The sequence below is a fragment of the Homo sapiens genome, chromosome 20, assembly GCF_000001405.40.
Source record: "Homo sapiens chromosome 20, GRCh38.p14 Primary Assembly".
Classification (NCBI taxonomy): Eukaryota; Metazoa; Chordata; class Mammalia; order Primates; family Hominidae; genus Homo; species Homo sapiens.
The window spans coordinates 15,980,822-16,004,736 of record NC_000020.11 but is presented as its reverse complement, the minus strand read 5'-3'; the positions used below and the strand labels follow the sequence as shown (position 1 = coordinate 16,004,736).

Sequence of the window (23,915 nt, the reverse complement as noted above, 5' to 3'; positions counted from 1 at the left end):
AGCTGCTAACACTGTAAGGGAGAGCTGGCCTTGCAGGCTGGTCCTGCGGCTGTGTGTGGGAGTTGGCTGCTGACAGGGGCCGCAGAGCCGGAGCAAACAGCCGAGATAAAGGCAGAGAGTATAAGAGAGCTAGTGTGAGAGAGCTGCTGATAAGAGAGCTGCTAAATAAAACTACCTTTCACCTGCCATCTGCCCATCCACCCACTCCCATCAGACCTCAGCTGGGGCTGGAACCTGACCCCGAGCATGACATTTGGAGTAGTCGTGGCCCTGGCATAACAAGGACCCTTTAGTAGCATACATGATTTTGTATACACAACTCCAATATATGCTGCTCAGGATGCATTTTGCGTACCACAGGGCTGCTTTCCAATAAACAAACACAGTCCTTGGTTCTGTACTCTTCTAACCTAGGCACGCGGTCTCTGTGTTCCCTTGTCCATATCACCTGCCACTGTGGGAGAAATGTGTTGTGCAATGACCACAAAGAGGGCATATGCGGGAAGAGAGGCTTATAAGTGGCTGATCTCCGACATACTGTGGGTTGGAGTCGGGAAGAGGTCCTCATCCTTACCACAGGTAATGCCCTGTGTCTCAGCTGCAGGTACTGGGGGTCCACAGTGACGCTAAAGAAGCATCTTCTCCCACAGTGGCAGTTGTGAGCCAGCTGGTTTGGATAATGAGGGCTTTGCCAGTGGTTCTCAAGCTGTGGTCCCTGGACCAGCAGTACCACCATCACCTGGGAACTCATTAAAAATGCAAAATTTTGGCCGGGCACGGTGGCTCAAGCCCGTAATCCCAGCACTTTTGGAGGCCGAGGCGGGCAGACCAGGAGGTCAGGTGTTTGAGACCAGCCTGGCCAACATGGTGAAACCCTGTCTCTGCTAAAAATACAAAAATTAGCCGGGCGTGGTGGTGCTTGCCTGTAATCCCAGCTACTCAGGAGGCTGAGGCAGGAGAATCGCTTGAACCTGGGAGGTGGAGTTTGCAGTGAGCTGAGATCACGCCACTGCACTCCAGCCTGGGCGACAGAGTGAGACTCTGTCTCTAAAAGAAAAAGCAACATTTTGACTCCTGCCATCTCCAGATCTACTAAACCAGAAACTTGAGGGATAGGGCACTGAAAGCCATGCTTTAACAAAGGCTTCAGGTGATTTCATGCACATTCAACTTGGAAAGCCTCTGCCCTCACTTTGGGCTACACCTGCTGGAGCTAGGGTTACTGGCAGACTAAGCAGTGTTACGCAGCCTGTTGCCAGGAAGTCTGGACCATGAGCCTCCAAACTCTGCTTATTTGCTTTCTATTGTTTTCACTGTCTTGTCTCTAGGATATATAAATGTGAATTCCTACATATAACACAAGAGATGCACACACACACACACACACAGGGTTCAAACTTTCATAAAGTCCTAATATTCTAATAGAGAAACCAAACCACAGCAATTATTGTATAAGAAATATACTCGAAGGGGAGCTCAGGAATTTGCACTTTTAGCAAGTTCCTAGATGATGCTGAAGCTACTGGTCCAAGGAACACATTTTAAGAACTTCCATCCAGATGAATCTGTTTTCACTACTGAGGGCTTAGCTTCCCCTTGAGGGTAGAGATTGTTTGTGTGTGTGTGTGTGTGTGTGTGTGTGTGTGTGTGTGTGGGTGGGTGGGTGGGTTTTCTATTTTGTTTTTGTTTGTGCCCCAGCCCCGAGCCCAGTGCCTTGTACATATTCATGCTGGATAGTTTTTAAATTAATAAACATCATTGAAAGTGCAACTGAGGAGACTCAGAAGGAGGGTACTCTGTTTGCCTACCCATCTGTCAATCATCTTTGCCTCATCACCACCCAAAAGAAGACAGTGGGAAAGTCTAGGATTTTCAAAAGGAGTGTTCTAAATTTGGATGCGAAATACTAGAGTAGCGGTAGAGGTAATGTACTAGTTTCTACTTGCTGCAGTAAATTACTTAGTGGCTTCACACAATGCAAACTGATTTTCTTACAGTTCTGGAGGCCAGATGTCTGAAATGGGTCTTATGAGGCTAGCGTCAAGGTGTCAGCTGAGCTATGTTCCTTCTTGAGGCTCTGGGGAAAAATCTGTTTGATTACCTACTACGGTTTCTAGAGGCCACCTGTATTCCTTGTTTCATCGCCTCCTTCCTCCATCTTCAAAGCCAGCAGCATAGCATGTTCAAATCTCAATCGCTCTCTTGTGGTCTCTCCTCTGCCTCTACCAACGCATCTCCTTCCCTCTCACTGACTCTCCTGCTTCCCTATTTGCTTATAGATATACTTGTGATTACACTGGGCTCACCTGGACACTCCAGGACATTCTTCTCTTTTCAAGCCCCCCAACTTAATTACATCAGCATCGTCTCTTTTCCTGTGTAATGTAACACATGGAAAGGTTCCTGGGATTAGGATGAGGACACCTTTGGGGGACCATTGTTCTGTCTACTCCAGGCAATTAAAAACAGTAACCCTTAATGTTCTCTTCAACCCCACATTTTATTTGGTGACTGGACTAAAATTTTTATTCCTTACTATAGGTGATAAAATAGTAAGATATCTTCTGGATATGTTCCTGTATTGTCAGAGATAACTTTGAGATCTACTTATTGAGTATCTCTTAAACAGGTAGACTTTGGAGATATGAAATATACATATTTATGTATATACACACATGTATATATATATATATAAGACACATTATATTATATAACTATATTTATCTTGTCTAGTATTTATCCTATCTAATTACTAGATGTTACGCAAGTTTTAGTTTCTCATTGCATAAGGTTTCCTATAATATTTTGTTAATGGAAAAATAAGAGTAATGTAACAAAGTGTAAAATATTGACTATATTAATTTTGAAAAGTACTCCCTTACATTGAAATTATATGACCATATCTTAATACGTTACGAAAAATGAACCTCTTAATCCTGAATATTTTTACTTTATGAACTATGTTTGTAAGTATATGAAACAAAAGAACAGATGAAGTAAATTATGTTTAAAGTTTGAGGAACAAACCAAATATGACAAATGGAAAAAAAATTCTCCTTTGAAATTTTTCTTTCAGAAGAAATATCTATTTTTCCCTTTTTCCCCATTTCTCTGCAGTTTATAAAATTAGGTTCAATTTAAAATGAAGGCTAATAAACTATGACAACATCTCTGAAAAATGAACTCATGTGCTTCTATGTAAAAAATGTAAATTCAAACAATGGGATGATATTATTGGTTAGAAACGTGACTGATTCATCTCGACAACATTTCCTTTGAAGTTTCACAATGAAATAAAGCAATCACATACAATCAATCCAAACCCCTTGCTATTGTTCAAATGCTTGCCTCCCTTTTTCTCTTTTTTCTTAATCATTGCAGCAGATGTCATAAAATAAATGTAGTGAAACATTCAAACAGCAAGTTCCCTAATTGTTTCCATCTTGATTATAAAAACACATTGAAAGGTAAATCCTCATGGTGAAATCGATGAAAAAAATAATTAACATTCAAAGTACTCCTTATACCACCTGCTTTTTACATACTGTGCTGAAATGAAGGCACCTGATGTATAAAGAGCAATGAAAAGAAATTGAGTTTCCTTCTGAAGCAGAGAGAAAAGCAGCACTTACATTTGAAATCCAAATCAAAATGGATATATCTTTTGCACAATCAGTAGGATCTGGAAGTTCTTGCACCTGATGTGAAGTGGTTGAGTCTAAATCCAAATGCAGTAAGTATGTCATCCAAAACCTATCACATAATAGTTTGTGGCCATTCGTTTACTAAAATAAAGCCTTTTATGTAAATGTTGAGCCTCTATTCCAACCACTGTATAAATGTACAAATTAAATTTTGGGTTGACAATATTTTGGTTTTTACAAAAAATGTATACATAAACATCCATATTATTACAATCACTATCTACTCCACATACATTATAGATTAGACTTGCACTTGTTCTGTCACTGAAATGGTCTTTCTGTCTGAATGTTTATGATTAGGATCTTTAGTTCACAGTCATAATGCAAGTCTGACTTGTAGTATACTAAGAGAAGGCAAAGATCAGTTCGCGGGAAAGTAGGTAGAACCTTCTTTACTTTATGAACTCTACGTACAGTGGCAGAAAACTGTACTTAAAGGAAACTTAAACTATTATTCTAAGAGAGAAAGAGCCAAACAAAATGAGACTGACCAGATAAAGCCAAGTCAAAGTAAGGTAATAGGCTTCTGAGTACAGGGTTGTAGGGATTACTCCATTCCACTTATGGCCTGAAATACTTGAGGCCCAAGACATGCTACCTTGGGGCCCCTTTAAGGGAGGCTGACATCAGAGGGCACCATTTTCTTCCAATCTATCAGGTTGGGGAGGGATGCAAACACAGCAAAGACTATGCTTACAGAAGGGCATGGCATTGTGAGAATAAATCCATGTTTCCATGGAAACATCTCAAGTGGATGCGTATATGTCTGTGTGTGTTGACAAAGATTCATAATTTGAGAGTTATTGTATGAAATGAGGGAGTTCACATTCAGGGTAACATTGGGCTTTATATAAATAGACTGGGGCTCAGCAGTATTTTTCTATAAAGGGCCAGGTAGTAAATGTTCTAGATTTTTTGCATGTTCTAAGAAAACTTTATTTATTTCATATAATCCCATATGAATTCAATACCAAAGGCTGACAGAGTGCGATAACTGTAATAATTTTGGGTTCTTACTGACTTTAGTCTGTAAAATGACGTGGAAAACAAAGGAATCAATGATGAATCAAATCATTTGTCTGCATTCTAGTTGGCAGTGAGTCTCCACACTCCGTGGCATGGCCAGAAAGGCTATGCATGCTCTCATTCTAACCCTGGGTTTTCACCCTATCACTTCTACTTTAATAATTCTGCACCACCATTCTAGCTTTTATTGACAGCTTGGGCTGCCAGAAGAGAGCAAGGTGGCTATACTTACACTAGACAAAATAGACCTTAACTAAAAAATAGTCACAAGAGACTAGAAAAGGTCATTGTAATAATAAAGGAATCAATTTATCAAGAAGATGTACAATTGTATGTATTTATCCACCAAACATCAGAGCATCTAAATATATAAAGCAAATACTAATAGAATTGAGAGGAGAAATAAATAGCAATACAATAATAGTAGGGGACTTTAATACTCCACTTCAATGATAGATAGGTCACCCAGAAAGAAAATCAATAAAGAAACAACAGATTTGAACAACATTATAGAGTGAATGAACCTAACAGACACCTAACATTCCATTCAATAACTGCAAAATACATATTCTTTTCAAGCGCACACAGAACATTCCCTAGGATAGATCATATGTTAGGCCATAAAGCAAATCTTAAGTTCATTGAAATCATGTCAAGTATTTTTTCTCATCACAAACATATAAAACTAAAAAACAATAACAGGAAGAATTTTGGAAAATTCACAAATATATGGAAATTAAATAACACAGTCCTGAACAACCAATAGGTCAAAAAAGAAATCACAAAATTGAAAGAATCTTGAGACAAACAAAAATGGAAACACCATATAACAAAACTTACAAGATGCAGCAAAAGCAGTTCTAAAAAGAAAGTTTATAGTTATGAATGCCTACATTAAGAAAAAAAGATATCAAATAGCCTAACTTTACACTTTAAGGAACTAAAAAAGAAATAAAGCCCAAATTAGTAGAAGAAAAAAATGGTAAAAATTTAGGACTGAAATCTCTAATCTCTCATGAAATCTCTGATCTCTAATGAAATAGAGAATAGAAAAACAATAAAAAGGATGAACAAAAATGAGGTTTTTAAAAAAAATTAACAAAATTTACAAACTTTTAGCTGACTAAAGAAAAAAGAGGACTCAGCTGGGTGTGGTGGCTCATGCCTGTAATCCCAGCACTTTGGGAGGCCGAGACGGGCAGATCACGAGATCAGGAGGTTGAGACCATCCTGGCTAACACGGTGAAACCCTATCTGTACTAAAAATACAAAAAATTAGCCAGGCTTGGTGGCGGGTGCCTGTAGTCCCAGCCACTTGGGAGGCTGAGGCAGGAGAATGGCATGAACCCAGGAGGCGGAGCTTGCAGTGAGCCAAGATCACACCACTGCACTCCAGCCTGGGGGACAGAGCAAGACTCCGTCTCAAAAAAAAAAAAAAAAAAGAGAGAACTCAAATAAATAAAACTATAAATGAAACAGTGATGTCACAAGTGATGCCAAAGAAATACAAGGGTTCATAAGAGACTGCTATGAACAATTATATGCCAACAAATGGGATAACATAAAAGAAATGAATAAATTGCTAGAAGCATACAATCTAACATGGCTGAATCACGAAGAAACAGAATATCTGAATAGACTAGTAATGAGTAAAGAGATCAAAATAGTAATCGAAAACCTCCCAATAAAGAAAAGCCCACAACCAGATTACTTCATTGGTGAATTCTACCAAACATTTAAAGAAGAATTAATGCCAATTTTACCTAAACTCTTCCAAACAAATTGAAGAGAAGGGAACATTTCCAAATTCATTTTATGAGGCCAGCATTACCTTGATACCAAAGCTAGATAGAAACACTACAAGAAATAAAAATTAAAGGCCAATACCCTTGATGAAAATAGATAGAAAACATTTCAACAAATTACTAGCAAATTCAACAGCAGTTTAGAAGGATGGAGGGATTTACACCTGGAATTCAAGGATGGTTCAACATATGGAAATCAATAAATCTGATATACCACATTAACAAAATGAAGGATGAAAATCTTATGATCATCTGAATATATGCAGAAAAAGCATCTGACAAAATTAACCATTCTTTCATGATTAGGAAAAAAAACACTCAACAATTTGAGTGTAAGAGGAATGTACTCCAACATAATAAAGGCCATATATGACAAGCCCACAGCTGTCATCATACTCAATGGTAAAAAGCTGAAGGCTTTTCCTCTAAGGTCAAGAACAAGACAAAGATGCCCCTACTCACCACTTCTATGCAACATAGAACTAGAAGTCCTAAACAAAGCAATTAAGCAAGAAAAAGAAATAAAAGCCATTCAAATCAGAAAGGAAGAATTATGATTTTCTCTGTTTATAGATGACATAGTCTTATTAAAAACCTTACAGACACCAACAAAAAACTGTTAAAACTAATAAATTCATTAAACTTGCCGAATTCGAAATCAACAGAAAAATCAGGTGCATTTCTATACACTAGCAATGAATATCTGAAAATCAAATAAAGAAAACTATCCATTTATAGTAGCATCAGAAATAATAAAATACTTAGGAATATATATAACCAAGGCAGTGAAAAATCTGTACACTGAAAACTGTAAAATATTGATGGGAAAATTGAATAAGACACAAATAAATGTAAAGATATTCCATACTTATGAATCAAAAGAATTAATGTTGTTAAAATGCCCAAATACCTAAATCGATCTATACATTCAACGTAATCCCTATCACAATTTCAAGGGCATTTTTCACATAAAAAAAGAAAACAATCCTAACACTCATATGGAAACACAAAATATCCCAAATAGTCAAAGCAATCTTGAGAAAGAGGAAAAAAGCCAGAGACATCACACTTACTGATTTCAAACTACATTTCAAAGCTATAGTAATCAAAACAGTATGGTACTGGCACAACAACAGACACACAGACCAATAGAACAGAATTGAGAATCCCGGAAATAAACCCATGCATATAAAGTCAATTAATACTTGACAAGGATGTCAAGAACACACAACAGTGAAAGGATAGTCTCTTTCATAACTGATGCTGGGAAAACTGGATACCCACATAGAAAAGAATAAAATTATACTTCTGTCTTATACCACTCACAGAAATTAACTTGAAATAGATTAAAAACTTAAATGTAAGACCTGAAACCATAAAACTCACATAAAAGACATAGGAAAAAACTTCTCAATGTTGGTCTTGGTAATGATTTTTTGGACATGACATCAAAAGCACAAGTGAAAAAAGCAAAAATAAATAAACAGATATTCATTAAACTAAAAAGCTTCTAAACAGAAAAGGAAATAATCAACAAGGTGAAAAGGCAACATATAAAATGGGAGAAAATATTTGTAAACCATTTATATGATAAGGGGTTAGTATCCTAAACATATAAGAATTATAATAAAACAGATTACCTGATTTAAAAAAGAAAATCTGATTAAACCAAAAATCAATGAAGAGTTTGAGTCAGTAATCAAAAACCTCTCAACAAAGAAAAGCCCAGGACCAGGTTAATTCACTGGTGAATTATACCAAACATTTAAAGAAGAATTAATGACAATCTTACTCAAACTCTTTCAAAAAAACTGAAGAGAAGGGAAGACTTCCAAATTCATTTTATGGGGCCAGCATTATGTTGATACCGAGACCTCAGTAGACATTTTTCCAAAGAAGACTTATAAATGGGCAATAGATATGAGATAAGGTGCTGAACATTACTAATCATCAGGGAATTGGAAATCAAAATCACAATGAGATATGACCTTACACTTGTTAGGGAGAGTTTCATTAAAAAGGCAAGAAAGAACTAACAAGTGTTGGTGAGGGTGTGGAAAAAAGGGAACCTTTTACACTGTTAATGGAAATGTAAATTAGTACAGCATTATGGAAAATAGTATGAGATTCCACAAAAAATTAAAAATAGAATTACCAAATGATCCAGCCATCCCACTTCTGGTTACATATCTGAAGGAAGAGAAATCAGTAGCTTGATGTCTGCACTCTCGTGTTCATTGCAGCATTATTCATAATATCCAGGACACAGAAACAACCTAAGTGCCCATAGATGCATAAATAGAGAAAAATGTGACACACACATACACACACACACACACACACCTCACATTTGTATACATAATATGTATACAATGGAATATATATGTATAATGGAATATTACTCAGCCATAAAAAGAAGGAAATCCTGCCATTTGTGACAACATGGATGAAACTTGAGGGCATTATGCTGAGTGAAATAAGACACAGACAAACACTGTGTGATCTCATTTATATGAGGAATCTTAAAAAGTTAAAAAAAAAAAAAAAAAAAAGGCCGGGCATAGTGGCTCATGCCTGTAATCCCAGCACTTTGGGAGGCCGAGGCAGGCAGATCATGAGGTCAGGAGATCGAGACCATCCTGGCTAACACGGTGAAACCCTGTCTCTACTAAAAATACAAAAAAATTAGCCGGGCACGGTGGCGGGCGCCTGTAGTCCCAGCTACTCAGGAGGCTGAGGCAGGAGAATGGCGTGAACCTGGGAGGCGGAGCTTGCAGTGAGCCCAGATCGCGCCACTGCACTCCAGCCTGGGTGACAGAGCGAGACTCCATCTCCAAAAAAAATAATAATAATAAAATAAAAAGTTAAAAAAAAAAAAAGACTTACATCCTGAGCTCTATGCTTGGGATGAGCCCAGCAGTGGCTTTGTCTGTTTTCCTCAGTTTCAGTGATAGTGTCTATATAATTTCTGGCACATATTACATGTGCATTAAAAGCATTTGTGGAATGTATGAATAAAACCATTTATGACTTTCTTAGTTATACAATGTGCAGTAGGGTGCACTGATGTGCTAGTAAGGATCCCACTGCTAGTCATTAGAGTTAGTAGAAAAAAAATAACTCAATTATATATCAATTGAGTATATCAAATATACTCAATTATATCACTTGTAATCAAGTTTCCATTTTCTAGTCTCAGTGTAGTAGTTTTCACTGTGAAATAAATAATACTATATTTCCTAATATAAAGTACACTGCTTTCACATCTTAACATCTTTGAAACAGTGAATTGTTACAAAATTTTTGTTGGTCAGGACACGATGATACAATTTATCATACCCATATATGCATTAGCATCAAAACCAAAAGTACTCAAACTTGCAGAATGAGTTTCAATGACTTAGGTGAAAATCTCTGAAAAATAATAAATATGGAGGGAGGTGGTGAGTCAGGAGTGTTTTAACTGCCTCTAAGTAGAAGCAAAAAAGAAAAAATAGGCTAACTCTCTATATGATAGCAAGACAGACTTAAGTCTTAAGAGACTTACAAGCCAATGAGTTTTAAATTCTTTATGAATTCTCTTAAGTTCTGAACCATCAAAGACATTGGCAGAGGACAATATTGTGTAATAAAAACAGATATTGATGACTTTGACTGAAAGTGATTTAGAAGTAGGACCCTGAACCTGATGAAGTTTTAGCAGTATCATAACTAATTCCTTTAGCCTAACATTTTCTTTTTATGTATTCTCAAGAGTGATATATGAAAACGTTCTACATCTTGTTCGAAGAGTTTTTTTAAACACATAAAATAAAAATCCTAAATGATACAAAATTATTGTGTCTTACTTTAATAAGCCAGATTTTAGAAAATTTATTAATAATATGTAAAATAATGGCACATCTCACAACTGAGGCATCTTAGAAGTACAACTTCATCTACAGTGTGTGTACAACTATATAAAATGTAGAATAGCAGTACTTGCCATAAAACAATAGCAAGTAAACTACAACCTCAGATGAAGTTGGAAGCTACTGCCCTACTCTGATACTACCCTAGTATTTTATCACTGTCTATCAAATGTATCAAATAGTGAACAATAACAAATAAGTGAGGTGGTAAACAGGTTAAAAAAAGGGCAGTTTTGCCTTCAGTATACTGTCAAGAAAAATTGTCTAAGACTTGACAATGGATAAAAGAGATCCCTGGGTGTCACTGGGGTGGAAGGTTGGGTGTCACCCTCCAGATAATCCCTCTGTGGGATTATCTGGTTCTATGAGGGTGTATTCCTTTGACCAGCTTTCTATTCACTAGACTATTTTACACATCTGTACAGGTAGAAGGTAACATGTAGAAAACTTGTAGTAATGAAAATGAGATTTGTTCATATCAGTGAAAACGAATTTTGTCTGATAGAAGGAAAGGATATGTTGTATTGTCCTGTATGATATTAGCCAGTTTGGAAATTTTCAGTGCTCCTGAATTGTGTGTGATTGTATGGATATATTCAGTGTTTCTGAATGTGTGTGTATTATGGATCCATGTGTATATCCATATAGCCATAATTCCTAATCAATATACAGTGATGTATTGCTTAAGGTGAAGATACATTCTGAGAAATATGTTGCTAGGTGATTTCATGATGCAAACATCATAGAGTGTACTTACACAAACCTCGATGGTATAGCCTACTACATACCAAGGTTATATGGTGTAGTCTATTGCTCTTAGGTTATAAACCCATACAGCATGTTACTGTGCTGAAGACTGTAGATAATTATAATACAATGGTAAGTATTTGTATGTCAAAACATAACTAAACATAGAAAAGGTACAGTAAAAATGTAGCATCATAATCTTATGGGACCACCGGGACATATACGATCTGTTGTTGACTAAAATGTCACTGTATAGATGATAGATGGATTTTATACACACACACACACACACACACACACACACACACACTCTTCAAATTCTCCTTTGAACCAGTTTTAACATCTTAATGATTCCCTTACTAGTTAATCATTTAAATAAAATATTTTACTTGTATTGATTTTATAGTTGTATGACAGCCATAATTTTATCTTTCTGAAAATTTCAATTTAGCATTATATAATGTCTTTGGAAGGAAGTTAAATATAAGGAACAAATGTTAATAATTATACTCACTATCTTTAGAGAAGGTTAATTTTCTGAAGTATTTCAGGATCATATATGTAAAACAATATTATGTTTAGATGAAGGTACACATTAATCTTTTTATTAGTTGTGAAAAAAATTCAGGTACTTTATGCACAGAGAGTTGAGTTGTAGAACTCTAATTCGGCAGAGAGGAGTAAAAAGCTCAATATTTAAAGACAGAATTCCACTTATGTGAGTCATCTTTTGTTTCTGCAAATTATTTTGATAAACCACGTGGTTTGATAAGCCACATGGTTGTAGAATCATACACCTCAGGGCAAGACCAGAAGGACACAGGCATGATACAAAGTTAAACTGTAAATGAAACTGGAGTGTTAGGAAGTGCAAGAAATCAAAGAAGACAAAGGGCGATACAGGATGTAGCCGGATGCTGGAGACTTAGAAGAGATGGTCTCTTAAAATTCCCCAGATGGGCAAGCACAAGTTAATTACAAGTATTGACCCTAACATTCACTTAAACCTACACACATCCTTGAGTTTGTGGTACTGCACGGAGTGAAGGGATGAGAGGTGGTGGTGGTGTCTGAGTGGGAGCCATAGTGAGAACTAGAGACAGCTTACGAAAAAAGGAATGGCAAAGGCTGAAGTGAGAACCAGAGGCAGGAGCTTGGAGCCTGAGATTAGAAGAAATAAACCTGACACCAAAGAATTCTCAGAGATATTGGAAGGAATGATAGATTTCTCCTAACATGAAAAATGGAGTTTCAGGGCAATTTTTTTCTAAATCTTTAAAGACAAGATGATTGCAGCAAGCTAGAGGATTTGAACAAACTCAAGAGGCCTGCATAACTTTCTTACTGGGTAGATACATGTGAACTTTATACACGTATAATCTAACTTTACGCATATACACATGCATATATGCTATCCACACCAACATCATTATTGTAGCAAGAAATCAAAGTGCAAGACAAAGTGCAGTGAATATACCTTTTATTCTTCTATGTTTTTTAACTTTAAAATTATAGGTCAGTTATGCAGCATAATTTGAATGAACTGGTTCTATATGTTTACATTGCATACATAGAGACATGTAGAAAACCTAAACAATTTAGCTTAAAACTTTATAATTTTTATGTTCAAGGTACTTAACCAATATGAGGAATTTCATTAGATACTAAAATATTCATAAAACCCAAACAGAGACCAGCATTTTTAATTTAACTGATATCCTAAAACATAATTTTGGTTGTTGAATTTCAGATTCAAAATATTATTAAAAAAGAAGAAAACAAATGGTAAAACTGCCCTAGAAAACTAAATGATTGTGCTGCTAATATGAATAATATAGTATTACTAAACTTGACTTCATTTGAAAAGAGATACAAAGACTTTCTGAAGGTAGAATGTTCCAGTAAGTTTGTTACTCAACATGCAAGTGTATATAGTATTTTGCATGAATCAAAAATATGCCTGAGCAATGATTCTTTATAGCCAAGAACACAGTCTGTATATGATGGCCCAAGTGTTAGGTATTCTATTCCCAGGGACATGTCCACTGTGCTATTGTGTAATACACAGGTATTCTGTGTATGGCAACACTGCTAGTGCAAGCTCTGCTTTTCAAGGAGAGAAGAAAGGGCTCTGCCAGTGATGTAAGAATCCTATGAGAAATGGAAAACACCAAGGGCTATACAGGGGTGCTTTGTAGATGAGATAAACCTCTAATGGATTTGATTGGTAGAAGCAGAAGAGAAAGTCCCTCACTTGCTATGTGTTCACTAAAAGATGAAATCGTAGCCAGAGGAGTTGCAAAAAAAGATGTTTCCCACATGGACTAAGAAAGATGGTGATGGAAATCCAGCTTGGTTCTGAGCAGAGTTTCTGTGTAAACCCACCTTGAGCTAAAAGGCATTCCCCTCCCCCTTTAAAGTATCTTTAGGGAATAATTAGCTGTCCAATCATTGGTAAGTCCTAATATATTTGGCTGATTTTTTTTTGCCTGGCCTAGGGCACCTCTATATTTTTATCAATAGGGTACAATAACTAAAACTGAGGAAAACCTATGATTTCAGCTTTCAGCATGGCTGACCATTGGCTCCCATGCCATCGCTCTTGTTTCACCAAGAATGTGGTTCTTCAGAGTTGGCCTTCTAAGAAAATTTATAAAACTGGAGAACCTTATAATTGCAATTTTGAGTTCATGCCCCTCATTATTACCCTAGAGACTGGGATTCTTCGAAGTTTAAGGATTGCCAGGAATCACACAGGCAGGGCTAGAAGCCATGGCTGTCTGTACACTATGTCTCAAGGTCATGCTGGTCAGACCATGCTTGGTTCAAAACATGAACCTAAGGGCATGATACTTTACACTTGTCACTGGCTTGCACTTAACTCTTTACTTGCATGCCTGCCCATATGCATCTTTTTCTAAGAAAACATTAAACCATAGTATACTTTAAGTCTCTGTCAACATTTTGCTCAATCTTAGGTAAACAGACAAAGGATTACTATTCCACACTACACTTATTAATTGATATGAAAAATTATTGGGACCAAATGTATTCATTCTGTTTAACACTTAGAGAAAAAAATATCCAATATATATCATAATAAAACATATATGAAAATTTTGTGAAATAATAACTCGATGTTGATATAGTTAAGATTTTATGTCAAATATTTCTAAATTTGCCCAAATAACAAATGTAAGAAAGATGTTTTAATGCTGACTTTATATTTTATACTAAAACATGAGATCCTTTTCAGAGGAGATCTTCTATAATATTACTTTCCTATTTGGTTATTAACCTAAATGACGTTATTCGACTGGATTTCATATGTGTTGCAGGTCCTGCTGGGAAATCATAAAACTGGGCTCATTTAGGAAGAGGCAACGTGGCTATATCAGAAAAGCTGCCATATGTGAAACCTCACTTTCTGCCTGTTGAAATTTTTGTATTTCAGGTCTCCCAGGGACATGTCCACTGTGCTATTGTGTAATTTTATCAGCATGAACTTCTGCTGAATATTTTTCCTTCTTTTCAAAATCCATATTTTAATAGAACTAACTTCAAAACTTAATGTTGCAACATCTGTGCCCATATACCTGGGAGCCATAGAAGATGTATCCTGAAGATTATCTACATTTTCTAATCTTATAAAATGCTACAAAAAAGAGAGAAAAAGGTTATATATTTTTCCTGGTCTGGATTTTTTTTTTTTTAAAGGAATCACTTTCTGCCTCCTTAAAAGGAGTCTTAAAATAAAAGAGAAGGAATACTTCTAAAGCTATAAAGAATATCTTTACAAATGTAATAAAATACTCATTTGTTTTGTTTACAGATAATTCCTAATACATATGTACAACTTTCCATTAAGACACTATTTTGTGAATACAAAATCTGGAGCTATAGCCTCGAAATGTTTTCAAACAAGACTTTTTAATAACTAAATAAAAAGAAAGTAAAAAAAATTGCTACTTTGAATTTATTTACTAGTTTTCTTTTGTGGATCTATCAACAGCTCAATGGTTTCTTTTTTAAAAAAATAGAAGTTATGGTTGTGTTTATTTCTCAAATGGAAGATTGAGATACTGACAAACAAGGAAGTGTTTATGAATGGAGAGAAATGCCTTCCACCTGGCTTCCTTCTATTAGTTGTTTTATCTCTTTAGAATAAAATACGCAGCAATGTAAAGAGTTTAGACCATATCAAAACTGCTGGCCTGAGATGGTGCTGCCAACCAAATGGATAGAACCAGTTGTTGTTGTTGAAGGATAATGTAAAATATGTGACTTTCTACAGATTCAAAATAGTGAAGAAGAATGATAAATGGACTTGGGGAAATCACATGTGGATTTTCTTGACTTTGTCATCAATGTATCAAATTATGATAAATACTAAATACTTATGGAGTGCATTCTATGTGTCATGCATTGTTTTAATTGCTTTGCACGTTTTACTTATTAAATTTGCACCATAACTATATGTGACAGGTACTTTTGCCATCATCATCTTACAGATGAAGAACCTGAAGCAGATAGGTTAAGTAACTTGTCCAAAGTCACCCAGCTTGTCAATGGTGGAGCAGAGCTACTGCAGAGCACCATGAATCTACATTGCCTCCTTTTCCTATGAGTACTTTTCACTTGGATGCAAAGTATAAGATGACAAATGTGATGCACTTAAAATTATTTCAAATTTAAACACCAGAAATATTCAAGGCAGGACCAAGTGAAATATCTATGATAAAGATGGGAAGAGAAAATGTGGTTAATTCAAGACTACCAGCATTAGTCATCTTACAGTGAAAAGTCAAATTTTAATAAAGAAATTCAACCTCATCGTTGCTAAAAGCAAGTAGCAGAATTTCACCTTGCTTTTTTCCCACATGCTATTCCACCATTATCAGAAAAAGATTGGCATATTTACAAGGAAGAGAGGAAAGGTGGATATTTAATTCTTCAGTCATCAGAGTAGTGTTCAATGCTTGGGAAGGCTCTGGGAGAAGGGAAACATGTCAATGTGCCGAATGCCAGCTTTTTTCTTATAGGTCAAGTCAAAAGAGGAAAACGTACAGCTGTTTGATTTTCCTCTTTACCATTTGCATTTCTTGAAATGCAATAAACAGAGCCAACAATTTCTGCTACAGAGAAATTAAGCTAACACGCACAGCATTGTCTATTTCACATTTTTAAACTACAATTGAGGAGAGCAATACCATATATCTGATTCTGAGTAAGGGTTGTTTCAATTCTCAGTTATCAATATTAGACATGAAATAACTTTGAATATACCCTTTATTTGACTTAACAGGAAAGTGGAGTCGTGAGTCTGAACTAGGATTTGCAATAGCGAAAAGCTTATTAGAGGCATAGACATGGAAGAATATTGTACTGTAAATGCAGTCAACATTTTAAAAGTGTCAAAATCTCTAACATGGTTTAGCAATTAAACTGTCAATGCCCCTGCCAAGAAGAGTTCATAATTTGGAAGCTGTAGTTGCTATTGACCTGATTTTACAATTGAGATCATGTCTGAGTTTTAATTTGGAAACAAAATTGATCACTGTGTTCTATAAACAAGGCCTGTCAAGTTATTACTCTGCAACTGCTTTGCAAATACATATTTATTTAAGAGCAGTATGATTTATGATATACTGTAACAAAAATTATTTTATTAGCTTCTTTTAAGAGATTGCTTTATATTTAAAAATTGAATTCTTTAAGTTCTTCAGTTAACACTAAATTAACCAGAATAGTTTTTTTAAACACATTTTTAAAAATATTTCTATCTTCACTCCAATACATTGGCTTTTTGCCCCAAATGCTGCTTTAATATTTAAGGAGTGTTCATTCCTCTTGAGTTTTCAGAAATCATTATAATGCTCACTTTTTTTAAAACAGTATTCAATATGATTGCATCCTAATATTAGCAAGCAAGATTGCAATTTAGGTTCATATAACATGCATATTTTACATAAATTGTTTCTTTCATCACTACTATACTAAGGAAGACAGATGAAATCAATACAAAAAGGCCAGTCTATTTGCTCTAAAGCCATTTCAGATTTTGTATGAACTTTATCCCTCTAGTCCATAGTTTTGATTTCTTATAGGCTTTCTCAATACTGTAATTTTAAAAATTTAAATTGAATCTAAATGAATAACAAAAACATCTTTATGCTATATGTAATTGCTATAAGTCTTCCGAGTATTTTCTTTTGCTACTTCTAGATTTTACTCTACTTTCAAACGGAGATTTGGGGTTAAGGAAATGTTCGTTTTCCCCCTTTACAAACTGTAATTGCATGAGAATAACTTTGATGGTTGAATTCTAGGCAGGAATCCAAAGAAACTCTCCATTCTTGATGGGTTAATTTAAGAGCAGTCCTACCTTTTTCACCTTCTTTTTCTTCTTGGTCCTCTGTTAATGGAATCACTTCTGGTTGCTCCACAATCACGGCATCTTCTTGGTTTGATGAAAGTTCTAAATAGAATGAGACAGATGGACACTCAGGGTTGTTTTAGTTGGAATCATTGAGAGAATACTGTGACTATGGTATAGAAAGTTAGAGTTCTTTTTTCCCCCTTCAAGTTTCAATAGGTACACCAAGTTGAACACTATTGCTATCCTCCAGTAATCATTGCCTAAAACACACACACACACCACGCACACACACAGGTATATATAGAAGTCATGATTCACAGTTTCATCTCATTCTCTGATAACAATATATTTTGGTTTCAGTACCTTCTGTTTCCATATATGAGCTCTGCGATTCTGTTTCAATTTTTATTTCATTCTTCGTTGAATCATTCTCTTGTCCTGTTCAAAACAGTGATTGAAAAATAAAAGAAATGTGATATGCATGACCGTAGCTTTATTCCTGACCTTCAGAAACCGTGCTTTAATCATGCATGGAGAGATAGAGAACAGTTTTGAAACCAAAGGGCAAAGATACAATTTTTCTAATCATCAGATTTATATCAATTATTTTCTGAGAAATATCCTGATAATTTAGGAAAAAAATCTTTTTTTTGGAAACTGATGCAAAATTGGCATACTTACTTAGCTTATGAATGCACAGGATATGGATAGAGGACACAACCTGGAAATTTTCAAATTTTACAATAATTTCTGGGCTGTATGGGTTAACTACATTTAATTTCCTTTTAAGATACAAATATTTCCCATAGTGAGGATTCCTAGAAAATGAAAACACTACTTGCACTTTCATTTTTCCATCAACAGAGCATAAAAAACTTGAGTAATGTGGGCACAAGGGAACTGGGGGGATAACAGCTCTGAGGGAAGAGAGAGACCCTCCCGTATCGCTTTATATTGTTTTATACTCGGTACCTGTTTTGAGAGAAAAACAAGGAAGTAAAACCAAAGACAGGCAGCCCGGCACCAGCCCCGAAACCAGGCCTGGGCCTGCCTGGCCTAAACCCAGTAGTTAAAAATCAACTCATAACTTAGAAACCGATGTTATTCATAGATTCCAGACATTGTATAGAAGACTATTGTGAAACTCTCTGCCCTGTTCTGTTTCACTCTGACCACCGGCGCATGCAGCCCCTGTCACGTACCCCCTGCTTGCTCAAATCAATCACGACCCTTTCATGTGAAATCTTTAGTGCTGTGAGCCCTTAAAAGGGACAGAAATTGTGCATTTGGGGAGCTCGGATTTTAAGGCAGTAGCTTGCCGATGCTCCCAGCTGAATAAAGCCCTTCCTTCTACAACTCGGTGTCTGAGAAGTTTTGTCTGCGGCTAATCCTGCTACGTTTCTTGGTTCCCTGACGGGGAAACGAGGTAACTGATGGACAGCCGAGGCAGCCCCTTAGGCGGCTTAGGCCTGCCCTGTGGAGCATCCTGCGGGGGACTCCGGCCAGCCTGAGTGACAGGATCCAAAGAGCACTCCCGGGTAGGAAATTGCCCCAGTGGAACGCCTTGCCAGAGCAGCGCATAGCAGGCCCCCGTGGAGGATTAACACAGTGGCTGAACACTGGGAAGGAACTGGCACTTGGAGTCCGGACATCTGAAACTTGGTAAGACTAGTCTTTGGAACTTGCCCCACTCCATCTGAGTGGAAGAGTGGCCTGATCACCCACAGTGTGCCTGCATTGGCACTTTTGTTCTGGTTTTGACTTGACTTGAATTGCTAGATACTTTGGTTTTGGTTTTGACTTGTCTTGAATCTTTTGGAACTCGGATTTTGAATTTCGTGATTTTGGCTTACTATAAATGGTAAAAGTGTGTGTGTGCCCTCCATACCCGTTCTTTGTCTTGTGGTGAGTGTGTGTGGTGTGAGCATGGTATTTTGTCTCAGGAGAAAAAACAAAAACAAAAACAGGTCCGGTGTAAGTAAGCCCACCCTACTAGGAACTATGTTAAAAAATTTCAAGAAAGAATTTAAAGGAGATTACGGTGTTACTGTGACACCAGGAAAACTTAGAACTTTGTGTGAAATAGACTGGCCAGCATTAGAGGTAGGTTGGCCATCAGAAGGAAGCCTGGACAGGTCCCTTGTTTCAAAAGTATGGCACAAGGTAACCTGTAAGCCAAGGCACCCAGGCCAGTTTCCGTACATAGACAGTTACAGCTAGTTTTAGACCCCCTTCCCCCCAACAGCAGTTAAGAGAACAGCAGCATAAGTGGCTGGCAGAGGCAAGGAAAGACCAGCAGAGAGAAAAAGAGGCCATCTATACCAATTCTAAGTTAATTCAGACTAAACAAGATCTTATTAATAGCAAAGGATAATTGAAATCCCAAACTTACAAGGTTTTCAACAAAAGTGAAGTTTGCTAAAAGTTAACAGTGTAACATGTATTATAGTAACTTCTAATCTTGTGGCCTTAGACAGTCTAGTCCAAAGACATAAAGAAAGTTCGCTTTAAAAAAGAGAAGGGCGGGGGGGGGAGGCAAAATTTATGTAAAAAGAGTGTTATATAGTAAATTCTTGTCCTGAAATAAATTAACTAGTTGTTTAAAGAAAAAAATGTAATAAGTCAAAAAGTTAAGACATGTTGAAAAATTGTCTGCAAAAGTCGTGAAAGAAAAAATGTTATAAAAAAATTTATGCAAAAAATGTTGTATAATTTAAAAGTAATAAGGCCTCCTGAGTACCATTAAAGAAACAGTTTATGTGCAAGGTGTATAAGAAAAGTAAAATATACCTTTAGTAAAAAAATTATAAAGGGACATAAAAATGTGGATTTTTACCTACATTAAAAGTTAAAAAAATTATTGTTTTAAAAATTTAAGCAAGTTTTAAAACGTTAATTGTAAAGAAAATTCTGTGTGTAAACATATTAGCTAAAGTTAAAAAGATATCACCCAGTTTTTCTGTGAACTGGACATTAAAGTAAAAATGCAACAGGTTTTTCTTAAAGCATCAACCTGCTCTTTAACAAAAATTATAAAAAGTTAAAAAAAGTCTATAAAATCTTACCTTATGGTCAAACATAAAAAATTAGATAAATATGTCTACAAGGTTTTATTAAAATTAAGTTTAACATTAATAACACACTAATATAAAAGTAAAATTTAACTTATCTACTATAAAAATCATACAAGAAACATTATTAAATATAAAATAGTATTTAGCTTTCTTTAGTCTAAAAACTAATAAAAATAGGTGTTAAAGGAAACATTCATTTTACTAAAGGATCATAGAAGTTAAAGACTTAAAACAAACTTTGGCAATTAAGACAGCATACCAAGAATGCAAATGCCTGGTTGAAATGGATCAAATATTCCATCTGCACATTAAACAAAAGCAATTGTTATGATTGTGCACATGGCAGGCCAGAGGCCCTAATTGTCCCCCTTCCACTAAGGTGGTCCTCCAGTCGACCAGGCGTAGGCTGCGTGGTAGCTCTTTTCTGAGATTCTACAGCCTGGAGTAATAAATCATGCCAAGCTCTCTCTGCTATATCCCAAAGTCCCTGCAGATCAGCACCTGAGGTCCATCCAGCTTCTGTCTCCCAACACTAAGTTCACTTTGTGTCTCTCACAGCAAGGAGGAGACTTAGCATTCCTTGGAGACCTGAAGGGATGCAGTAAGCTTAAGAATTTTCAAGAGCTTATCAATCAGTCAGCCGTTGTTCATCCCCAAGCAGATGTGTGGTGGTATTGTGGTGGACCTTTACTGGGCACTCTGCTGAATAACTAGAGTGGCACTTGTGCTTTAGTCCATTTGGCTATCCCTTTCACCCTGGCATTTCATCAACCAGAGGAAAAACAAAAAATAAGACATCGTAAAGCCAGAGAAGCCCCTTATAGGTCTTTCAACTCTCACATCTATTTAGATGCAATTGGAGCCCCACAAGGAATACCAGATCAATTTAAAGCTTGAAATCAAATAGTTACAGGATTTAAGTCAATATTTTAGTAGATGACAGTCAATAAAAATGTAGATTAGATAAACTACATCTATTACAACCAACAGCAACGAGCTTTTCATGAGTTAAAAAGAAAAACTCATGTTGGCCCCAGCCCTGAGGCTACCTGACCTGACAAAACTCTTTACACTCTATATGTCAGAAAGAGAAAAAATGGCAGTTGAAGTTTTAACCCAGACTGTAAGGCCCTGGCCAAGGCCAGTGGCCTATCTCTCAAAACAACTAGACGAGGTTTCCAAATGGCCCCCACGTCCAAGCGCCCTGGTAGCAACGGCCCTGTTAGCACAAGAAGCAGATAAGCTAACTCTTAGGCAAAACCTAAACATAAAGTCCTGCCATGCTGTGGTGATTTTAATAAATACCAAAGGACACCATTAGCTAATGAATGCTAGACTAACTAGATACCAAATCTTGCTCTGTAAAAATCCCTACATAACCATTGAAGTTTGCAACACCCTAACCCCGCCACCTTACTCCTGGTATCAGAGAGCCCAGTTTAACATAAACTGTGTAGAGGTGTTAGACTCAGTTTACTCTAGTAGGCCCAACCTCCAAGACCACCCTTAAACATCAGTAGACTAGGAGCTGTACGTGGATAGGAGCAGCTTCACCCACCCCTGCAAAGTGACTCTGAAAAAGACGACAAGCCCCGCTCCAGTCACACTCAGAAGCTGACTGGTCCACACATGGCCGAAGCATGAAGAAACTCATTGCAGGACTCATTTTCCTTAAAATTTAGACTTGTACAGTAAAGACTTCAACTGACCTTCCTCAGACTGAGAACTGTTCCCAGTATATACATCAAATCACTGAAGTGAGACAAAAGATTGCTACAGTCCTATTATTTTATAGTTATTATAAATGCCTAGGAACTCCAAAAAGAACTTGTTTGTACAATAACACTCAGCACAAAGTATGTAATCCAGGAAGTGACCTGCCCGATGTGTGCTATGACCCCTCTGAACCCCCCATGATCACAGTCTTTAAAGTAAGATTAAGGACTAGTCCTTTTCTAGGTGACACAAGTAAAGTAATAGCTAGAACAGAAGAAAGAGAGGTCCCCAAAAATGTAACCTTAAAATTTGACGCTTGTGCTGCTATTGATAGTAAGCAGCATAGAATAAGATGCGGTTCTCTGATGAGGGAAAAAAAATTACACAGCAAAAAAAAAAAGTATGTCTGTCAAGAATCATATTTATGTAAAATGTGTCAATACTGGTCTTGTGTCATTTAGGCTACTTGAACAGAAGATTAAAAAGATCCTGTTAGGCTTCAAAAAAGAAAAGTCAGCCCCTCCTGCACGAGTGAGAACTGTAACCCTTTAGAATTAGTCATCACAAACCCCTCAGACCCAAAATAAAATTAAAAAAACAATATGTATCATTAGGCATTGATAGAAAAAGACTAGACCCTAGCATAAACAGCCTAATAAGAAAGGAGGTTCAAAGACGCTCTCCAGAACCAGTATTTCAGACTTTCTAGGATGAACTAAATGTGCCAGTACCTAAGATTCCAGGAAAGACTAAAAATTTGTTTTTTGCAATTAGCTGGGCATGTAACCCAGTCTCTAAATATCACTTCATGTTATGTTTGTAGAAAAACTGTAATAAGAGATCAATGGCCATAAGAAGCCCGAGAATTAGTGCCTACAGACCCAGTTCCTGATGGATTCTCAGCCCAAAAGAATCACCCTGATCATTTCTAAGTTCTAAAAGTCTCAATTATTGCATAGCTAAACAACAACAACAACAACAACAAAAACAGGAAAAGAATTCACTCATTCTGTAAGATGACTTAGTTGTCTAAAGCAAAAACTGTATAACGATACCGCAAAAAACAGTTACATGGTGGAGTTCCAATTACACAGAAAGAGATCTATTCAGTAAATTTCCAAGGTTGCAGACTGTCTAGGCCCACCCAGAATTCCACCAGGACTAGCCTGACCCTACCAGGTTATACTGGATATGTAGACATAGAGCCTACGCTAAGCTGCCTGACCAGTGGACAGGTAGTTGTGTTATTGGCACCATTAAACCATCTTTCTTTTTACTGCCCATAAAAACAGGCGAACTCCTAGGCATTCCCTGTCTATGCTTCCTGCGGAAAACGAAGCATAGCCATAAGTAATTAAAAAGATGATAAATGGCCCACTAAAAACAAAATTATACAATACTATAGGCCTGCCACTTAGACACAAGATGGCTCATAGGAATACTGGACCCCCATTTACCTGCTCAACAGAGTCATACGGTTGCAAGCTGTTTTAGAAATCATCACTAATAAAACCGGTCAAGCCTTTACTATTCTGGCCCGGCAAAAAACTCAG

The 23,915-nt window shown here is 36.5% G+C and overlaps 1 protein-coding gene and 1 long non-coding RNA gene across 9 annotated transcripts in view, besides 2 other annotated features; one reads left to right on the top strand and one right to left on the bottom strand.

Moving 5' to 3' along the window:
- The window catches only part of MACROD2 (mono-ADP ribosylhydrolase 2), a 2,057,682-nt gene that overhangs the window by 48,461 nt on the left and 1,985,306 nt on the right, over nt 1–23,915 (bottom strand). For all 8 annotated transcript variants that reach the window (NM_001351661.2, NM_001351663.2, NM_080676.6 and 5 more), the window contains 2 exons: nt 17,936–18,010; nt 17,579–17,671 (listed from right to left, as the gene is read on the bottom strand). In NM_001351661.2, coding sequence (NP_001338590.1) covers nt 17,579–17,671; nt 17,936–18,010 — 168 coding nt within the window. The remainder of the gene's footprint in view (nt 1–17,578; nt 17,672–17,935; nt 18,011–23,915) is intronic.
- Nucleotides 18,462–18,511: an enhancer, noted in NCBI's record as "active region_17560". NCBI's record gives its function as "activates an Ori minimal core promoter by ATAC-STARR-seq in GM12878 lymphoblastoid cells {active_cell/tissue: GM12878}" and the evidence as "EXISTENCE:reporter gene assay evidence [ECO:0000049][PMID:35858748]".
- Nucleotides 18,572–18,751: an enhancer, noted in NCBI's record as "active region_17559". NCBI's record gives its function as "activates an Ori minimal core promoter by ATAC-STARR-seq in GM12878 lymphoblastoid cells {active_cell/tissue: GM12878}" and the evidence as "EXISTENCE:reporter gene assay evidence [ECO:0000049][PMID:35858748]".
- LOC613266 (uncharacterized) overlaps nt 18,855–23,915 on the top strand; it is a 93,550-nt gene continuing 88,489 nt past the window's right edge. Inside the window, exon 1 of the long non-coding RNA NR_130924.1 lies at nt 18,855–19,234. This is a non-coding gene — a long non-coding RNA (uncharacterized LOC613266). The remainder of the gene's footprint in view (nt 19,235–23,915) is intronic.